At 47.8% G+C, this 20,669-nt stretch overlaps 2 protein-coding genes across 5 annotated transcripts in view, besides 2 other annotated features; one reads left to right on the forward strand and one right to left on the reverse strand.

Annotated features, from left to right (window-relative positions):
- Positions 1–9,140, forward strand: part of RNF10 (ring finger protein 10) — a 43,233-nt gene extending 34,093 nt beyond the window's left edge. For both annotated transcript variants that reach the window (NM_001330474.2, NM_014868.5), the window contains exons 14-17: positions 2,743–2,843; positions 7,183–7,240; positions 7,344–7,502; positions 8,142–9,140. In NM_001330474.2, coding sequence (NP_001317403.1) covers positions 2,743–2,843; positions 7,183–7,240; positions 7,344–7,502; positions 8,142–8,218 — 395 coding nt within the window. In that variant the 3' untranslated portion in view covers positions 8,219–9,140. The remainder of the gene's footprint in view (positions 1–2,742; positions 2,844–7,182; positions 7,241–7,343; positions 7,503–8,141) is intronic.
- A 1,175-nt stretch (positions 9,141–10,315) lies between these two features.
- On the reverse strand, positions 10,316–12,954 carry POP5 (POP5 ribonuclease P/MRP subunit). Of its 3 annotated transcripts, none has more exons than NM_015918.4 (5): positions 12,895–12,954; positions 12,667–12,809; positions 11,326–11,475; positions 11,066–11,149; positions 10,316–10,964 (listed from the first exon to the last, which is right to left on the reverse strand). In NM_015918.4, exons 1-5 carry the CDS (start codon positions 12,912–12,914, stop codon positions 10,870–10,872), a joined length of 492 nt encoding a protein of 163 aa, NP_057002.2. In that variant the 5' UTR covers positions 12,915–12,954; the 3' UTR covers positions 10,316–10,869. The 3 variants fall into 3 exon arrangements, with proteins under 3 accessions (NP_057002.2, XP_011536743.1, NP_937845.1); XM_011538441.2 differs by having other exon boundaries at positions 11,066–11,203; NM_198202.2 differs by lacking the exon at positions 11,326–11,475.
- Positions 16,017–16,386: a silencer, noted in NCBI's record as "silent region_4955". NCBI's record gives its function as "represses an Ori minimal core promoter by ATAC-STARR-seq in GM12878 lymphoblastoid cells {active_cell/tissue: GM12878}" and the evidence as "EXISTENCE:reporter gene assay evidence [ECO:0000049][PMID:35858748]".
- Positions 16,417–16,486: a silencer, noted in NCBI's record as "silent region_4956". NCBI's record gives its function as "represses an Ori minimal core promoter by ATAC-STARR-seq in GM12878 lymphoblastoid cells {active_cell/tissue: GM12878}" and the evidence as "EXISTENCE:reporter gene assay evidence [ECO:0000049][PMID:35858748]".

The following is a 20,669-nucleotide window of genomic DNA, read 5'->3' on the forward strand; positions in this document are numbered from 1 at the left end:
TCATCTGCCTGGCACATGGTTTATTAATTTCTTTTTTTTTTTTTTGAGATGGAGTCTAGCTCTGTCACCCAGGCTGGAGTGCACTGGTGCAATCTCAGCTAACTGCAACCTCTGCCTCCCGGGTTCAAGCGATTCTTCTGCCTCAGCCTCATGAGTAGCTGGGATTACAGGTGTGCGTCACCATGCCTGGCTAATTTTTGTATTTTTAATAGAGACAGGGTCTCTCCATGTTGGCCAGGCTGGTCTCGAACTCCTGGCCTCAAGTGTTCTGTCTGCCTCAACCTCCCAAAGTGCTGGGATTGCAGGTGGGAGCTACTGTGCCCAGCCTGTTTGTTTTTAAGAGATAGGGTCTTGCTCAGTGCTGTGATGCATTCATTAGCTCACTGCAGTCTTGAACTCCTGGGCTCAAGTGATCCTCCTGCCTGAGCCTCCCAGAGTGCTGGGATTCCAGGTGTGAGCCACTGTACCTGGCCAAGAAAGATACTTTTTGATGCTTACGTCTGATTTCTCAGGCATTCTTGTTTTGTTTTGTTTTGTTTTAGATGGAGTTTCGCTCTTGTTGCCCAGGCTGGAGTGCAATAGTGCAATCTCAGCTTACTGCAACCTCTGCCTCCTGGGTTCAAGCGATTCTCCTGCCTCAGCCTCCAAGTAGTTTGGATTACAGGCATATGCCACCATGCCTGGCTAATTTTGTATTTTTAGTAGAGACAGGGTTTCTCCATGTTGGTCAGGCTAGTCTCAAACTCCTGACCTCAGGTGATCCGCCAGCTGACCTCAGGTAATCCACCTGCCTTGGCCTCCCAAAGTCCTGGGATTACAGGCATGAGCCACTGTGCCTGGCCTCTGTCGGGCATTCTTAACAAAGTGTCCATCATTGGAATATTTAAAACTTGTGGTGACCATTTTGTTCATATGCATATCATTTTGCAGATTAGGAACCTGTGGCTGAGGCAGGTACTTAGTGGCAAGAACTGGGATTAGAACCTGGTTCTTGAGGACTGCACTACTGTGACGCTCTTCTGCTTAACTGAAAAAGGAGCATACGAAGGACTGTGGCAGATCATTAAATACATTATTTGTGATATGCATCTTTTTTTTTTTGAGACAGGGTCTCGCTCTGTCGCCCAAACTGGAGTGCAGTGGCACAAGGCACAATCTCGGCTCACTGCAACCTCTGCGTCCCAGGTTGAAGCAATTCTTGTGCCTCAGCCTCCCGAGTAGCTGGGATTACAGGCAGCACCACCATACCCTGCTAATTTTTGTATTTTTAGTAGAGATGGGGTTTCGCCATGTTGGCCAGGTTGGTCTCAAACTCATGGCTTCAAGTGATCCGCCTGCCTCGGCCTCCCAGTGTGCTGGGATTATAGGCCTGAGCCACTGTGCCCAGCCTATCTGTGATACCGAGATTGTGTTTTCACATACTGTCTTTTCTGAAAGCTGCTTTTTGTTTTGTTTTGTTTTGGATGGAGTCTGTCTCTCTGTCGCCCGGGCTGGAGTGCAGTGGTGCGATTTTGGCTCACTGCAACTTCCCCCTCGCGGGTTCAAGCGATTCTCCTGCCCCAGCCTCCTGAGTAGCTGTGTAGCGTGCCACCATGCCTGGCTAATTTTTTGTATTTTTAGTAGAGATGGGGTTTCACCGTGTTAGCCAGGATGGTCTCGATCTCCTGAGCTTGTGATCTGCCTGCCTCAGCCTCCCAAAGTGCTGGGATTACAGGCGTGAGCCACCACACCCAGCCTTTTTTTTTTTTTTTTTTTTAAGATGGAGTTTTGCTCTATCACCCAGGCTGGAGCACAATGGCACGATCTCGGTTCACTGCAGCCTCCACTTCCCAGGTTCAAGTGATTGTCCTGCCTCAGCCTCCCAAGTAGCTGGGATTACAGGTGCCCGCCACCATGCCCAGCTAATTTTGTATTTTTAGTAGGGATGGGGTTTTGCCATGTTGGCCAGCCTGGTCTTGAACTCCTGACCTCAGGTGATCCACCCACCTCAGCCTCCCAAAGTGCTGGGATTACAGCGGGAGCCACCGCACCCGGCTTTTCTGAAAGTTTAAGCTTTTAATGTATTTAAGCAAGAGCAATTGGTTGGTCCTAGTAATAAGAGTACTGACCATGTGAGGGCCTGCTGCTGGGGGAGAGAATAGGGCCCCTCTCGTCCAACACTGTTCAGGGCAGTGGATAGACTCATCTGTGGGAAGTGTTCAGCTCTAGTCAGAATGGATAGAGAAGTGTATTACCTAGGGAGTATTGGGGAAAAGTTTGCATCCTTGTGCTGGATCTTGTTGATGTGTCTTGGATTCTAATTGGATACTCCCAGGTCATAGTGTCTACTATCGGGAATGTAAAAGCTGAGCTGATTAAATTTTATCTTTTTCTTGGAGCTATTTCATCCTTGTAAAACCAGTCCCTGACAGTACCTATCCTTGAGAGCCAGCCTTTGTGGAAAGTATAGCATTTCAAAAGCAAAGACTTTTCTTACAGTTGGAGTAGATTCTACCATGACTTCTAGAGTTACTGTAACGATGAAGCTCTTCCCTCTTCCTGTACCGGTCGCTGATTTCACTGGTGATATTGTTGGCTTTTTAAGAACATGGAAGAGTTGAAAGTTGGATCAATGTTTGCTTTTTTTTTTTTGAGGGGATGATTTGTAATTTTCCAGACCTGACTCAGGGCTCACTCATCTCTCTTGTTAAGGACACCCCTTGGAACGTGACGAATATAATCAGGTCTCTGGTTCCCTTTCAGACTTTCTGCTGACCCCTCTGTCACCCACTGCCAGTCAGGGCAGTCCCTCATTCTGCGTTGGGAGTCTGGAAGAAGACTCTCCCTTCCCTTCCTTTGCCCAGGTAAATCCTTTGCTTGTGAAGCAGCCCAGGGGTATTTAACATGAACTCTGCTGCTCATTATTATGGGAACCTCCTCCAGGGATTGTTACCTCTCATTCTAATACGGCTGGACAAATTGAGTCATCTGATGGGTAGGAGGGAAGTTAACTGCCTGTCGGAGCTTTATGCAGCATGGAGTTGGTTGAGGGCAGATTATGTCATGGACGTCCGCTCTGTTGGAAAAGGAGAGACTTAACAGGCTAATGTTGCACTGACTCTAATAATCATGGGAGGCATTCTTAAGAGGAAAGCTCATGGATTTAGTCCTCAGATGTTACTGTAGACGTACCCAGGAAAGAGGCCAAGAATAGCTGAGGCAGAATCAGAGTTTAGAATATTTTAAAAATCATTTGATAACTTGTGTACTGGATACTATTGTAGGGGCTGGGGATACAGCATCAGTTTTAACTGGTCTCTGGTTCTAGGACCTCTGATTCAGGTGGTATTTATCTGTTACATAAAATGAGCCATTTCTCTTCACTTTGAGAGGGGAAGATTGTCTTGGTTATACTGCACCTAGCCAAAGCAGCTTCCTTGGAGCTGGGTGGGGGAACGATAGGCTAGTGAGGCTTGCTGTGAAACCACTTTGTTAATCTCTAAGATAACAAGCTAATACTCAGCATTCCTGCATTCAGATAAGTGAGGAAGATGGATGGACAGCTTGACATGTGCCCTTGTAAGAAGTCCGTATAAACTTCTTTGAGGCTAGTGCAGAATCATTATCTTGACAGTTTTTTTTTTTTTTTCCTCTTCTCCAAGACGGAGTCTCCCTGTCCCCCAGGCTGGAGTTCCGTGGCGCGATCTTGGCTTGCTGTAAGCTCCGCCTCCCGGGTTCACGCCATTCTCCTGCCTCAGCCTCCCGAGTAGCTGGGACTATAGGCGCCTGCCACCACGCCCGGCTAATTTTTTGTATTTTTAGTAGAGACAGGGTTTCACCGTATTAGCCAGTAGGGTCTCAATCTCCTGACCTCGTGATCCGCCTGCCTCAGCCTCCCAAAGAGCTGGGATTACAGGCATGAGCCACCATGCCCGGCCATTGACAGTTCTTTAGAGCAGTTGATACGGATCTTTCTTATGTAATTACAGCAGTTTGTACTGAGAAATAAGCAAGAATTGAGCTTTGGTAAGGAGGGTTCCGAAGTCAAGGAACATGAAATAATTGTGGAGGTGAGGTGAGAAGAGAGGGGGATCCTGAAAATTAACTGCTGGACTTAGAGATGATTAACAAGTGGCTCCCAGGAGTTATGCCAAATACTTGTTTTGTTTTGTTTTGTTTTGTTTTGAGTTGAAGTCTTGCTCCTGTCCCCAAGGCTGGAGTGCAATGGCGTGATCTCGGCTCACTGCAACCACCGCCTCCCGGGTTCAAGCAATTCTCCTGCCTCAGCCTCCCGGGTAGCTGGGGTTGGGTTACAGGCGCCTACCACCATGCCCGGCTAATTTTTGTATTTTTAGTAGAGACAGGGTTTTACCATGTTGGCCAGGCTGGTCTAGAACTCTTGACCTCAGGCGATCCACCTGCCTCAGCCTCCCAAAGTGCTGGGATTACAGACATGAACCACTGCGCCTGGCCTTTTTTTTTTTTTTTTTTTTTAAACTAGGCTTTATTGCTATTGCTTTTTTCCTTTGAACTTTATTTTGAAATACAGAGTTGAAAGAATAGTATTATGAACACTTAAACTTTTGACCTAGATTCACTAATTGTTACTATTTTGCTGTTATATATTTGCTTTCTCTTTTTTCTGTGTTGAAAAGAAGTTGCAGATATCCTGAATGATACTTTACCGCTAAGTACTTAGGAGATACATGCCAAAGAAAGTGGGATATTCGCCTATAGAACCACAGTGATCACATTAGAGAAATTCCACTGCCACAGTAATATCTAATATGGTGCATATTTATATCTCCACATTTGTCTCAGCGTCCTTCATTTTCAACTCAGGGCAGAATCCTGTTACTCCCTGCATTTAGTTGTCAAGTCTCTTTAGTCTCCTTTGATCTATAACCGTTCCTTTGCCCATATCCCCTTTTTTTTCCCTTCCATGGCCAGTTGTTTTATAGAATATCCTACAGTTTGGACTTGTTTGATTTCTCATGAATGGATTCAGGTTACATTTAAACATTTTGGTAAGAATAAGACATAGGTGACATTTTGATTACCTTTTAAGAGTAAAACAATTCACATGTCAAACTATTTGGATACTGTCTCAGTCCATTTGTGTGGGTATAAAAGATTACCCGACGCCGAGTCATTTATCAAAAAAAAAAAAAAAGTTTATTTGGCTCATGACTCTGCTGGCTGGAGGACTGGGCATCTGGTGAGTGCCTCAGGCTGCTTCCACTCATGGTACACGAAGTGAAGGGGTCCCTGCTTGTGAAGAGATCACATGGCTAAAGAGGAAGCAAGGAGGGGAGGAGGTGCCAGGCCGTTTTAAACAACCGTGTTCCTGTGCCCAGTTTCAAAATAGCCTTCAGCCAAGCTATTGAAGCAGCCTTTGTGAAACTGGACACACCAGCTACTTCAGATCCCTTCTGTGGTAAGGGCAGAGGCTGGAGTGCCCAGGGTTGTCAAACACACATGTACTGCCATTCCCACTGGGATCCAGTGGCAGACATCACTCATCAGCTCTTTCAGGAATGAATGCGAGAATAGGTCTCCCATCCCCCAGGGAGGGCATTAATCTGTTCATGAGGGGTCCACCCCCATGACCCATACATCTCCCATTAGGTCCCCACTTCCAGCATTGGGGATCAGATTTTAACATGAGGCTTGGGAGGGTCAAATGTCTAAACCGTAGGAGACCCAAACTCCTAGAGACAAAGGGAGAAGTTCACCAAAGTGGAACATAATGAAGAAAGGTTATTTAATGAAATCGGCATCTGCCAACACAAACTCATCTTGAGTAATAGGCATTCCTCACTTTGGAATATATGATTTAAGGACAAGGCATCCCTGCTTGAACCCCATGGGGTTTGTCTCTTGATATTTTTCCAGGAATAAAATGTTCTCTGCCTTTTAAGTGGCATATTTGCAGTTGGGGCTCATAGTGGCCTTCAGCAGTTACAAAGCTGGCCTTGGCCAAGTGGAATGAAAATTCCTCAGGGGCATGAGGATTGTTCTGATTTTATTGTCCTTGCAGGAATTTTACTGGCCTGTGGTTGGATCTGAAAGTTAATGATGAAGGAGCTATTGGAAAAGCAGACTAAAAGGTAGTGAGGGGCTGTTGAAGCGGTGTCAGGAGAGAGTTTAGTTAGTTTTCATGGCTTTAGGTAACTGAAGTTTAGTAGCCATGTGGTTTAAAACTGGAGGGTACTTGGCTGGGCACGGTGTCTCATGCCTGTAATCCCAGCACTTTGGGAGGCCAAGGCGGGCAGATCACCTGAGGTCAGGAGTTCGAGACCAGCCTGACCAACATGGAGAAACCCCGTCTTTACTAAAAATACAAAAATTAGCCGGGCGTGGTGGTGCATGCCTATAATCCCAGCTACTCAGGAGGATGAGGCAGGAGAATCACTTGAAGCTGGGAGGCAGAGGTTGCGGTAAGCCAAGATTTGCGCCATTGCACTCCAGCCTGGGCAACAAGAGCGAAACTCCATCTCGAACAAAACAAAAAAAACTGGAGGGTACTAGGCCGGGCACAGTGGCTCACGCCTATAATCCCAGCACTTTGGGAGGCCAAGGTGAGGGATTAACTGAGGTCAAGAGTTCAGGACCAGCCTGGCCAACATGGTGAAACCCCGTCTCTACTAAAAAAAAAAAAATCCAAAAATTAGCCAGGCGGGTGCCTGTAATCCCAGCTACTTGGGAGGCTGAGACAGAATTGCTTGAACCTGGGAGGCACAGGTCACAGTGAGCCAATATTGTGCCATTGCACGCCAGCCTGGGCAACAAGAGCTAAACTGTCTAAAAAACAAAAACTGGAGGGTACTACTCACTGCTTCCTCCGACAGCTCGATGTTTTTAGGGGTCCCAGGAAGGGCAGAAAAACTTAACCAGAAAGTCGGAATTCCCAATTTGAGGGTCTCAGTAAGAATCTCTTGTGCCTTCTGTGCAGTGTTCTTTACCCATTTCCTAAGGAACAAACAGCTTATGGTTTACTACCTTGTGGGTTTCATTGCCATTTCCATTAGCCAGGATATAGAGGACATGACTAGAACAGTGTGTTAAGGAGAGAAGTACCTGGAAAATCTTTTCAAAGGTGATAGTTGGTTCTGTGCCTCTCCAGTTAGTCAAGGTAGGTCTGAAAAAGAAGTTGGACCAGCTACTTAAATTCTCTCCCCCACTTCTTTCCCACTTTGGCAGATGCTGAGGGTTGGAAAAGCAAAAGCAGATGTGTGGCCCAAAACTGCTCCAAAGAAAGGTGAGGATGGTCCACTGGTGAAGGGGGAGTTTGGCTTCTTTCCATAAAAGGCTGTTTCTAGAAAAAGAGTTGTTTCTATAGTTTTAACACTGGTATTTTTTAGATGAGAACAGCTTAGTTCCTCCTGCCCCTGTGGACAGCGACGGGGAGAGTGATAATTCAGACCGTGTTCCTGTGCCCAGTTTTCAAAATTCCTTCAGCCAAGCTATTGAAGCAGCCTTCATGAAACTGGACACACCAGCTACTTCAGATCCCCTCTCTGGTAAGGGCAGAGGCTGGAGTGCCCAGGGTTGTCAAACATACTACACATGTACTGCCATTCCCGCCTGGATTCAGTGGCAGACATCACTAATTAGGCTCTTTCCCTTCTGAACCCTTCAGCACACTCTAGTGTCATTTAAATAATACTCCATTTGGTATGTCAGATAGGACCTATTTGCCACCCCAGAGAAATTGATGACGCCTGAAAGTGAAATTCTGAGGAACTCTTCCAAGATACAGTGGGGTGTACAACCTGTATCCTTTAGAATCTTGAGTTGGTACAGGGTGGCTAATTAGATGGAGAAGTCAGTCTCGAAGCCTGTTGCACTCTGTTCATGACTAGACAAGAATCACATATGTATGGCGTGCTATGTGCCTAGCACTGTGCTAATTCTCCCAACAACCACGTTAAATGGGTGTACCTCACGTTACAGATGGGGAAACTGAGGTCCAGGGAGGTAAAAGTGATTTGCCCAAAGACACCCACTTGGTGTATACCAAGACTGGTATTGGCATCTAGGCAGTCTAATTCCAGAGCCTCCACTCTTAGCTCCCACTCTGTGACTCTCAGTAATGAAAACTGGCCAGGGGACAAGGGATGGCATTTTAAGTTAAGCTGTCTTTCTGTGTCTCCCTTTAGAAGAGAAAGGAGGAAAGAAAAGAAAAAAACAGAAACAGAAGCTCCTGTTCAGCACCTCAGTCGTCCACACCAAGTGACACTACTGGCCCAGGCTACCTTCTCCATCTGGTTTTTGTTTTTGTTTTTTTTTCCCCCATGCTTTTGTTTGGCTGCTGTAATTTTTAAGTATTTGAGTTTGAACAGATTAGCTCTGGGGGGAGGGGGTTTCCACAATGTGAGGGGGAACCAAGAAAATTTTAAATACAGTGTATTTTCCAGCTTCCTGTCTTTACACCAAAATAAAGTATTGACACAAGAGATCTCTTCCTGCCAAGGTTTTTAGTTCATTGCCAGTTTAGTCTTTTTGACCCATGTGTAATTAATTTTTCTCAACCCAAAGTAAGATTGAGTCCCCTTTGAGATGCATTAGAGCAGTCCAACCCAGAATGGCACACACTGCTCTGCTGTAGCATCATGTCAGGGCTTCCTGGACTCAGTACACCTCTCAGTTTGTCTTTTAAAAAACAGCTGAATCTTTACTACCTATTTAGTTCTCCTTGTTAAAGAAACAGGGGTGGGAATAAAATGGATTTAGGACACCCAGTTTGAATTGCAGTTTTTTTTTTTCTGACACATGGCCAGGCTGTGGTGCCAGCTTAATGGAGTAGGCTGTCCTTGGCACTTGCATGTGTGAAAGGAGGGTTTTGCCTCTTCTTGAGCATGGCTTGAGTTGGTAAGGAAAGCTGTAACTCACGAAGCCCTGAGACCTGCTACCCCTAAGATCGAGCTTGTTTTCAGTGACTGGCTTGAGTCATAGGAGGAGGAGTCTGGTACAGCTGCAGGAGAGCAGGGCCATCTGAAGCGGTAGCATTGCCACCATCTCCCTCTCATCTAGAGCAGTTTTCTTATGCCTTGGTTTGAGCTGAATTTGATGTGAATTCTTTTGCTGCTTAATAAAGTGACCTCTAGGTGCATTAGAATGCGAAGGCAAATAGTTGCAATAAATCACCTGCACAAGCATTGTGAGCTTTTTGTTTTTTTAAGTTCATTACAGGTAAGCTAGACAAGTTATTTCTTGAATAGGTTAACGTGACAGCTACTATGATATTGTAGGCTGTCTTTTCTGGTGTCAGGTTTAAATGGTTCTAGAGCTGGGCTTAGCTTTAACCTGCCATTTTAAAAGAAATCCTATCAGGAAATTTCCTGGATGGATGAGGGTGTTCTGGCCTCCAGATGAGGGGGCATGTTGAAGCCAGAATCACCAGTGTTTCTGTTAAATGTGTATGGTACTTTCAGTCTCATCCATTGTATTATGGAGAAAACAGATCCCAGAAATGTCAGTAGGTAGCAGATCAAACCTGGATCACAAGTCTCCCGCCATTCCTACTTCCTGTGAGTATGGCAGTCTGACTTGTCTTCAGGGCGCCTTGTATTCAGGCGCAATAAGAGCGGAACTACAAAAACTACCTTAAGTTCCTTAAGTGGACAGCTGCTACATGACCATGCAGTAATGATGTCAGATGAGGCCAGCACCCGCGCCCCCCCCAACTGCAAAGGTTGCATTTTTTGTTTGAGACAGAGTCTCGCTCTAGCCCAGGCTGCAGTACAGTAGTGGGATCTCAGCTCACTGCAAGCTCTGCCTCCCGGGTTCACGCCATTCTCCTGCCTCAGCCTCCTGAGTACCTGAGATTACAGGCACCCACCACCATGCCCAGCTAATTTTTTGTATTTTTAGTGGAGACAGGGTTTCACTGCGTTAGACGGGATGGTCTTGATCTCCTGACCTTGTGATCTGGCCGCCTCAGCCTCCCAAAGTGCTGGGATTACAGGTGTGAGCCACTGCGCCCGGCCCAAAGTTGTATTTTTTAAGTTACCTGATTAACTATTGGCAAGGAATCTGGTATCTGTAAGACCCTGTGGTTCAGTACTGAGATGGGCTGTAGATCTCTGCCAGTTCAGTTGCTGTGTCTCAACTAATATTTCTATTCCAAATGACTTGGCTTGCTTAGGGCCCATCATGGGGCCGGGGGTACAAAGCTTCAGGTAGAAGGCTAAGTATTGAAAATTTAGGCCAGGCACAGTGGCTCACCCTTTAATCCCAGCACTTTTGGAGGCCAAGGTAGGCCGATCACTTGAGGCCAGGAGTTCAACAGCAGCCTGGCCAACATGGCAAAACCCCGTCTCTACTAAAAATACAAAAATTAGCCAGACGTGGTGGTGCACGTCTGTAATCCCAGTTACTTGGAAGGCTGAGGTGGGAGAATTGCTTGAACCCAGGAGGCGGAGGTTGCAGTGAGCCGATACTGGGCCACTACACTCCAGCCTGGGTGATAGACTGAGACTGTCTCAAAAAAAAAAGTTTAACTAGTACCACATAGGGAGTCAGTCTTCCCACCAAGGCTAGGGATAGAGAGAGAACAGAGACTTGGCCAAGCATGGACTCCATAAGCCCTTTCTGTAATATAAGTATGCTAAATGCCACGGAAACCAGATACATTTATTAAATCTACTCTTAGCCAAGCAATAAAGATGTCTACAGAGTTCACAACCTGCAACACTTCACCAGGGAATGCTAGGTAAAGGCAACTTCAGTTTAACTGAGTACTCCATTTCAAGTGGGTAATGTCTGCTGGTTGGCAGCTATCCAGTTTGGAAAACTGTGGAAGATGCTGTTGCTACCCAGATTGTTCTGTTCAACAAGTGGGCCTGAAGCCTGAGCAGTGTAGCCAGCTGTGTGGGGAGCAGAGGTTCACTCCATTGCTTCTGCAGCCTCCTCACCTGACTCCTCCTCCTCCTCTAATAAGCAGCTTCTTGTCACAGACTTCTGGATAGCTTCCCGCTCTCCTGGAGAAGGCAGATAACAGGGATGAAAGATATCTTTGGGAGTGATTTCTTCAGCTTAAGGTCAGTCACTGCTCAGTGGGCACTGGGCTAGTGTTGCTTACCTTCATCAGTGCAGTTCTGCAACAAGATCAACAGCTGTCTCCTGTTGTACTGAATTAGGAACTTCTGACATGTTCTTATTGTACCTGGCATATGAGTTACTGTGGTCAACAGCTTGTGAAAGATCTCGACCTTACAGACTTTCAGAGGTAGGGGGAAGTGTCTTGTTAGCGGGACAGCAGCAAGACCCACCCACCAGTTTAGACTGAACTGTGAACGTGTCACCAATTGAAAATCAGTAGCCATACCACCTCACTCCTACCTCCCACATGTAATGTGTTGAAAAAGCATGGGTAACGGTGTCCTTTGTTCTCCAAGTATGTGATGAAGGGAAGAGCTGACCACACAAGCTGATAGAATTCTTTTCTGCATCGAAGTAGCACTATTCCAGTATAGGCATTGAGATATCGAACTACAACAGGAAAGAAAAATCATTTTGGAAAACTTTTGCTCTGTGTGGTGGCTCACGCCTGTAATCCCAGCACTTTGGGAGGCTGAGGCGGGCAGATCACTTTAAGTCAGGAGTTCGAGGCCAGCCTGGCCAACATGATGAAACCCCGTCTCTACTAAAAATACAAAAATTAGCTGGGTGTGGTGGTGCGCACCTGTAATTCCAGCCACTCAGGAGGCTGAGGCATGAGAATCGCCTGAACCCAGGAGGCAGAGGCAGCAATGACCCCCGATCTCGCTGCTGCACTCCAGCAGCCTGGGCAACAGCCAGACTGTCTCGAAAAAAGGAAAACTTTGGAGTAACAGAGCCTACTATGTGCCAAAAGTATGTTGTAGGCAAGTGGCACGTAGATCTATCAGCGAGTAAAAGAGAAAAGCCAAAACACCCACTGTGTTGCACACCACTCAGAACTGGTGAATGAATTTAGAATTGAAAATGCTTTCTAATTCACTAGTTAATTCAATAAATAGGAGCAGGTAGGAGGCGATCCGTTTTAATTTAGGAAAAACCCCCACAAAACCCTTGCCTGAAAAACAGGCTGTTTTACTGCATTTGGGCTCCGTAATTATTGTAGCAGTCAGCTCTCAGTCTCACCTGACTTAGGAGAGTTAAGTCTATCTGCATTTAACTCTCCAGAAGTCAATCTCAAACAAGGTTAAAGTGGGAACTAATTTAAGTGGTGTGAAAGAAGGGCCCCTCTGTCCTAGCTCATCCTGTATTTACATATATTGACAATCATGTGTTCTGTACTTTACCAACTATTTAAGGGCTTTCCCGGAGTACTTTTGACAATTTTTTTCCATATGATGTTAATGTAATCGGTCATATAATAGCTCTTACTAGGAAGTATACACAGCTTCCCTCATTTAATTCTCTACCCTATCAAATTCAATCACAACCAATTACAGAAATTACCTGTCAAGCAGGTAAAAAGAGGCTTCTAGCTCAAAGCCCCACTGCCTTCGGGCCCCTCCTTTTAGCGCTCTGCTAATTTCGGACTCTCGCTTGGGGTCCCAGGCGCTTAAAGAGATACCTTACAAAAAACGGTGCACGGGCTTGGCCACTCGTGCCCCTTCTTTCTTCCTCCGGCGCCTGCCCCCTCCACATCCCGCCATCCTCCCGGGTTCCCCTCTTCCCCCAGCGCCCTTGCACCCGCGAAGCCGATGGAGCAGGCGGCTGCGCCGAAAGTTCCGTGCACCCTGGCGATCGTGTCCCGTACGAGGCTGCTCAGAACTCGGTCATCGAGGCTTAGGCGGCAGCGGGGGTCGTCAGACACCAGTTCGCAGAGCAGGTACCTGCGGCAGGCGAGAGGAAGGTGGACACTAGCGGGGCCGCGAGGACCCAGCAAGGCACTGGGAGGGTCTGGAAGGGAATGCTTACCTGTGCTTGAACCGCACCATGGCTGCCTCCGCGCTCTCCGGTCCGGCGTGCAAACCGGATGTGAATTCTGTCCGCTGCCAATGGGAAGCTTGCTTCCGCAGCCTTTCAGCCATTCAGAGAAGGAGACAGGATATTAGGGCGGAGCTAGAAAGTTGAGAGGCCGAAGTCTGTCAGCTCTCTCAAGCCCCGCCCAACTGCGTTTGTAAGCGCGCATGCGTCCTGCGGAGGGTCACTGACTAGTTTGAGGGCTGAACCCCGGGATGGAGCGCCTTGCAGCTGTAATGGATGGTTCTGTTGCACACTGAAGTTTACAATAGTGTGTAGGATGTAGCCGCTACCCTTGGGGCCCTGGGAACCTTGCACCACAGTTATGTATGCGAGTATATTCTCTCCCCAAGGTGAACGGTGGAGCTTTTGAGGGCAAGACCCTGCACCTCACAGCCCAGGCATTGACAAACGGGAAATCGGACTTTTATTTTCAGGTTTGAGCTCAGTTTAATTCTTCCATACAGCTAAATATGCTATTGCTGTTTGGGCCTTTCAGCAATCTTAGGGAGGCGAGTGTGCCGTCTCGTTTTTTGCTCGCAGAAACAATACGTGGTCATTGTATTTTCCATTTCCGTTTACCTTTTTTTTTTGACAGAAAAGCACAAAGAAGCAAATAAATTATAATCCCAGCACTGAGAGAGAATAACTGTTGTCGTGTAGTGTGTTTTCTTCTGTCATTTTCTCCCTGCGCCAGTGGTTCTCAAAGTGCCGTCTGGGGACCACTGAGATTTCCTAAATTCACTCGATTTGGGAGTCCCCGAAGTCAAAATTACTTTCATAATAATGCTAAGATGTTACTTGTCTTTTTCATTCTCTCTGAGTGAACAGTCAAGTTTTCCAGAGGCTGCTTGACGTGATGACGTCACTGCTCTAGGAATTGTGTATTGTTTTTTAAACGTTTCTCAACTTTAATGTCCATAGTAAATATAACCCACAAAACTAAAAGCTCTTGGGCACCCTCAGTAACGTGTGTAAAGGGGTCCTGAGACAGAGAAAACAGCTTGAGAACTATGCCCTCTGTTAAATTATGTTTTTTCTTTTATTTTTAAGTATTTTAAAAAAAATGTCTTATGGGGTATTACATAAAGTACATATTCTTAAGTGTATTCATCTCAATGAATTTTTACATATGGATAGACTTCTATAACCACCTCCAAGATTAAAATAAAGAGCATTTCCAGTATCCCAGAAGGTTCCCTGAGCCCTCTTCCAGTCAAATTGCTTACTGCTATCAGCCACTATTACCACTTCTACCCTGCTAGATTAATTTTGCCTGTTCTTAAACTTTATATAAATGCAGCCAGGAGGCTGGCTGCAACCTCTGCCTCCTGAGTTCAAGCGATTCTCCTGCCTCAGCCTCCCGAGTAGCTGGGATTACAGGCACCTGCCACCACGACCAGCTAATTTTTGTATTTATTTATTTAGTTTTTTGAGACGGAGTCTCACTCTGTTGCCCAAGCTGGAGCACGATCTCAGCTCACTGCAACCTCTGCCTCCTGGATTCAGGCGATTCTCCTGCCTCAGCCTCCCAAGTAGCTGGGACTACAGGTGTGTGCCACCACAACTGGCTAATTTTTGTATTTTTAGTAGGGACAGGGTTTCCCCATGTTGGCCAGGCTGGTCTTGAACTCCTGACCTCAGGTGATCCACCCACCTCGGCCTCCCAAAGTGCTGGGATTACAGGCGTGAGCTACCACGCCTGGCCATTTGGCTATATTTTCATGTCAGCTCTTCAGCGACAATACTGTTTTTTAGCTGTGCAGTATTGCATTGTTTGGACGTACCATTGTGAAGTTGGTCAGTATCCCTTTGGTAGACGTTTACATTATTTCTAGATTTTCTTGTTATACCCAATACTTTGATGCATGGCTTTGTAGCTTAGTCTTTATGCCCATCCCTGATTATTTGTAGAAGTGTCTTGGCCTTGGCTGGTCCTGTGAGGTCCGTAATGGGGGCAGCTTTCACAACCTATTTTTGCAAGATCTGGAATGAGTTCTGAATTTTCCCATCTCCCACTCTTCTTGGCCACCTTAAAGGAGGGATGTGGGGGAAGGTAGGGAAGAAAAGAATAGGAAGAGGGAACGCCGTGGCCCTGCCAAGGGACCAGTGACAGTGACGGCACTCCCCACCCAAGAACAACTTTTCACCAGAAAGTGTCTGCGACATCCTCCTTTGGCCAACAGGGGGCGCCAGAGGTCCGCAGTGCGCGGAGAGAGCAAGACACCCCCAACTCCTGAGCGCTCCACCCCTCATAGAAATTTCACTCCTCCCAGCCTTCATTTCAACAGCAATGCTTCGCCCATTTTATAGATGCAGTTGGGGCTCAGACCAAAGCCTCGTATCCAGTTAGGAGCAGGATCAGAATTCGAACCCAAAGCCAGCTGACTCCTTGTTCTGGTCAACACGGTTGGTGCTCTCCCGTGCAGGATTTCACTCGTCCATTTAGTGTAATAAGATGGAGAGACGACAGATGGAGGTTCGATTCGCTACTCCGTCATTTACTGGCCCGGCCAGGTGCTGTCAGGAGGGTTAATTCATGTCTCAGATCTTAGTTTCCTCATCTGTGCAATGGGATAACAATGGTTCCTCCCTCGTGGGTGGATATGAAGTTTAAGCGGGGTCATGTGGACAAAATGCCTGGCACAGCGAGTGCATAGTAAGCCCTTTTTTTGTTTTTGTTTTTTTTGTTTTGTTTGTTTTTTGAGACTGATTTTTAAGACTGTCTTAAAAACAAGAAAAGAAAAAAGAAAATATAGCCAAACAACAGGAATTTTTTGAGACAGTTTTTTGCTCTGTCGCCCAGGCTGGAGTGCAGTGACGCCATGTCGGCTCACTGCAGCCTCTGCCTCCCGGGTTCAAGCAATTCTCCTGCCTCAGCCTCCAGAGTAGCTGGGATTAAGGCGCCTGCCACGACGCCCGGCTAATTTTGTATTTTTAGTAGAGATTTCACCATGTTGGACAGGCTGGTCTCAAACTCCTGACTTCAAGTGATCCGCCCGCCTCGGCCTCCCAAAGTGTTGGGATTACAGGCGTGTGCCACCGCCCTCGGCAAGTAAACGCTGTTCTGAACAAATGATTTACTTTTCCCCCACAGGCACAGCCCCGGGAGGAAGCACATTGGCACGGCCCGCGGCCTCCCAGTCTTGGACCAGGCCCGGCCCCTTCTGGCCCAGGAGGGTGCAGACGCCGGCGGTGGCCGGGCGGGCGGGCTCCCCGCGGTAATTAGCGCGCGCCGGCTCGGGCTGCGCCAGCCGCTAATTATAAGTCTCCTAATGAGGCCGGCGGCTGTTTGCAATCACCCGGGTCCCCGCTGCGCGGCGCGGGAGGCTGCGGGGGAATCCGCCCGCGGAGGCATGGAGGAGGAGCGGCCGTCTTCCCCGGGGCCCGGAGATCCGCTGGACGGCGACGGGGTGTGCCCCGGCCGTGCCCGCCGCCGGAATGCCGGCCGCGAAGGGGCAGCGGCGGGGGCTCACACCCCAACCCCTCCTCGGTTCTCTCCCCAGCCGGGCCGCAGAGCCATTATCCTCCCCAGGTGAGGAAGCCGATGAGGCTCTGAGAGGTGAGCTCACCCAGGTGCGACATCACAACTCACCCAGGTGCACAATAGAGCCCAATCCACGTCTGTCTGACCCCAGCCTGTGCCCTTAGCCGAGTCAGGTATCCCCTGGATCAATGGGGTGGTCACTGTTGTCATTACTGTTAGCATTATTACAGTCGTCCTGGGACTTCTCAGATTCCTTTTTTTTTTTTTTTTTTTTTTTTTGAGATGGAGTCTCCCTCTGCCGCCTAGGCTGGAGTGCAGTGGCGCGATCTCAGCTCACTGCAACCTCTGCCTCCCGGGTTCAAGCGATTCTTCTGGCTCAGCCTCCCCAGTAGCTGGGACTACGGGCACGTGCCACCTCGCCTGGCTAATTTTTTATATTTTTAGTAGAGACAGGGTTTTACCGTGTTAGCCAGGATGCTCTCCATCTCCTGACCTCGTGATCCACCCACCTTGGCCTCCCAAAGTGCTAGGATTACAGGCGTGAGCCACCGCGACCGGCCTTTTTTTTTTTTTTTTCTGAGACAGGATCTCACTCTGTCCCACAGGCTTGAGGGCAGTAGCTCCATCTTGGCTCACCGCAACCTCTGCCTCCTAGGTTCAAGCGATTCTCCTGCCTCAGCCTCCTGAGTAGCTGGGACTACAGGTGCCCACCACTATACCTGGCTATTTTTTGTATTTTTAGCAGAGATGGGGTTTTGCCATGTTGGCCGGGCTGGTCTCGAACTCCTGGCCTCATGTGATCTGCCTGTCTGGGCCTCCCAAAGTGCTGGGATTACAGGTGTGAGCCACCGTGTCCAGCCGGGATCACTGTCTTTATTCTTCATCCGTGTCTCCTGGGTGATCATTAATTGGGCTCTCCCAGTGTGCTGGCCACTGTCTTTTCTGGGTTTGATTGATTGAGTCCTCACATCAGCCTCATGAAGTTAGGACCCATTATCCTCTGAGACACAGGGAGGAAAATGGCTTGCCCAAGTTGACACAGTAAATTTGGGTGGACATCTGTCTTACCCTAAAACCTGTGCTCTTAACCCCTTGCTCTCTACTCTGTATTCGGGGACCTAGAAAGATGCTGAGGAAGGAGAGCGCAACTGGGGTACCATTCTGAGGTGACTTTGGCATCCGAGGGGTTTCTGTCAGAGCCCAGATGCTGCTGTTGTGGATGGTGGCAAAGGGAAACTGTATCTGCTCCAGCATTTTATTAAGCAGCCACTGCTCGTAAGAGGCTCCTACTCCTCGAATCTTAACCAATTTTCTGTAAAACCCTTATGGGGACAATCTAGATGAAATTAAACCCTCCATCTGCTTAGCCAGGGGCTTGGGGAGCCGCCACATCCTCCAGGTTGCTGGGACAGATGCAGCCCTCCCTGGACTTCAGTCAAAACATTGCATCTTGCTCCTCCTTTGTCCTCGCTGCCCTGTGAACCTCTTTCCCTGTCCCCGCCTGCTGTGAGAATTCGCTCATCCAAAAATTAATTGAAATTACAAGGGCTCTACTGTTTGACCCAGCAATTTCTCCACCAGCAATTTCTCCCACAGAGATTGTCGCATTTGTGCCAAATGACAGGTGAATGAGGATGTGTCTTGCTTGCAGCATCGTTGGTTATAGCAAAAGGCCACCTCAGTGTTTACCAGAAGGGGTCCACTGTATGTGTGTATTTATCGGACAACTATGGGCCAGGGAATGTTCATTCTAAACACTGCCTAGGCTGGGCGCGGTGGCTCACGTCTGCAATCCCAGCACTTTGGGAGGCCGAGGTGGGCGGATCACTTGAGGTCAGGAGTTCGAGACCAGCCTGGCCAATATGGTGAAACCCCATCTCTACTAAAAATACAAAAAACTAGCTGGGCATGGTGGTAGTTGCCTGTAAATCCCAGCTACTCGGGAGGCTGAGGCAGGAGGATCGCTTGAACCCAGGAGGCAGAGGTTGCAGTGAGCTGAGACTGTGCCACTGCACTCCAGCCTGGGCAACAGAGCAAAACTCTGTCTCAAAAAATAAATAAATAAATAAACAAATAAACACTGCCTAGACTGACTCATTTAATCCTGACAACTACCCTATAAAGTAGGTACTTGGTTTTATTAACCCCATTTTACAGATGAGGAAACTGAGGCTCAGGGAGAACAAACTGTTGGCCTAAGCTTCACGTAGCTTGTCCACAGCAGGGCCAGAATTTGGATCAGGCAGTCCATGTTCTTAACCACTGTTCTATATGGCTTCTCTGCCTTTATTTGCATCGAAAATTTCCAAAGGGTGACCCAAGAAGCTGTTGATGGTGGTTACCTCTGGGGAGAGGAATTCAGGTGTGAAGTAGGAAGGCCTTAGTTTCTACCATGTCCTCTGTTTTTCCATTTTATTTTGCCATATGTTTGTGTGCTGAATGTTTATGTTCCCTCAAATTAATATACGGAAATCCTAACCTTTAAGATGATGGTATTAGGAGGTGGGGCCTTTGGGAGGTGATTAGGTCATAAGAGTTGAACCCTCATGAATAGTATTAGTGCCCTTATAAAAGGGACCCCAGGCTGGGGACTGTGGCCCATGCCTGTAATCCCAGTACTTCAGGAGGCTGAGGTGGGTGGATCACTTGATTCTAGGAGTTTAAGACCAGCCTGGGCAACATGGTGAAACCCCGCCTCTCCTAAAAATACAAAAATTAGCTGGGTATGGTGGTGCATGCCTGTAATCCCAGCTACTCAGGAGGCTGAGGCAGGAGAATCACTTGAGCTTGAGCCTGGGAGGCAGAGGTTGCAGTGAGCTGAGATCACACCGCTGCACTCCAGCCTGGGTGACAGAACAAGGTCCTGTCTCCAAAAAAAAAAAAAAAGAGGGACCCCAGAGAGTGCTCTCTCCCTCTCCTACCACATGAGGACACAGAATCTCCTGGCACCTTAATCTTGGACTTCCCAGCCTCCAGAACTGTGAGCAATAAAAGCAATAAATATTTGTTGTTTAAGCCAACCAGTCTGTGGTATTTTTACTGTAGCATCCTGAAAAGACAAATGGAGATGTGCATATGTTAGTTTCATAATTTAAAGAAGTTACTGGCCACGCATGGTGGCTCATGCCTATAATCCCAGCACTTTGAGAGGCTGAGGCAGGAGGATTGCTTGAGCCCAGGAGTTCAAGACCAGCCTGGGCAACAAAGTGAGACCCCGTCTCTACAAAAAAGTACAAATTAGCCAGGCATGGTGGCACTTGGCTGTAGTCCCAGCTACTTGGGAGTGTGAGGTGGGAGGATTGCTTGAGCCCAGGAGGTTGAGGCTGCAGTGAGCCATGAGTGCACCACTGCACTCCAGCCTGGGTGACAGAGCGAGGCTTTGTCTCAAAAAAAAAAAAAAAAGTAAAAAAAGTTACTGAGCCCCAGTCCCCAAGGTATGTTAACACCAGTCCTTACCTTAGCTGTGGAAGTGGGTACTATCATTATTCCCATCTCAGAGATGAGAGAGCTGAGCTCACAGAGGTAGTCTGCCTGGCCCAATTACAAAGAGGGATGGACTCTTCAAGCTAGTGGTTTTTCTCCTAATTCATATTAGCCCCTGGGCTTGGAGGGTTCAGAGGGGAGAAAAGTGATTAAAAGCATGAACTGGAGCCAGCTGACCTGGGTTCAAGTCTTCATTCAGCCATTACTGGCTGTGTGACCTTGGGCAAGTCACTTTCCCTCTCTGAACCTGTTTCCTTTCTGTGAGGATTAAACAGTTTACATTCATGTCACATGCTTAGAACAAGGCCTGTTTAATCATGAGCACTCAAGAAATGTCAGGTATTTTTTAAAAATATACATTAAAATGTAATAGAGACAGGGTCTCGCTATGTTGCCCAGGCTGGTCTCAAAGGCCTGGGCTCAAGCAATCCTGCCACCTTGGCTTCCCAAAGTGCTGGGATTACAGGCATGAGCCACTGCGGCTGGCCAGGTATTTTTATAGTACTGTTTTCAATATTGTCCCCAATTTCAAGCTCAGAGTGGTTCCTTCTCCCAGCTAGTGGGTCCAGTCCTCCCCCCAGGGGCAAAGCCCAGCCACCCTGTGCTCCCATCTCCAGCAGAAGCCCCTTGCAATCAGTTCTCCTGGGTTATCCCAGGGCGGTGGCTGTGATCAGAGCTGATCACATTGCCAGAGCTGATCTTAGGAGAAGAGGCAGAGCCACAGGACTGGTGTGGCCCGGAGCCAAGGCAAGGCTGTGGC

This window comes from Homo sapiens, chromosome 12 (assembly GCF_000001405.40).
Source record: "Homo sapiens chromosome 12, GRCh38.p14 Primary Assembly".
Classification (NCBI taxonomy): domain Eukaryota; kingdom Metazoa; phylum Chordata; class Mammalia; order Primates; family Hominidae; genus Homo; species Homo sapiens.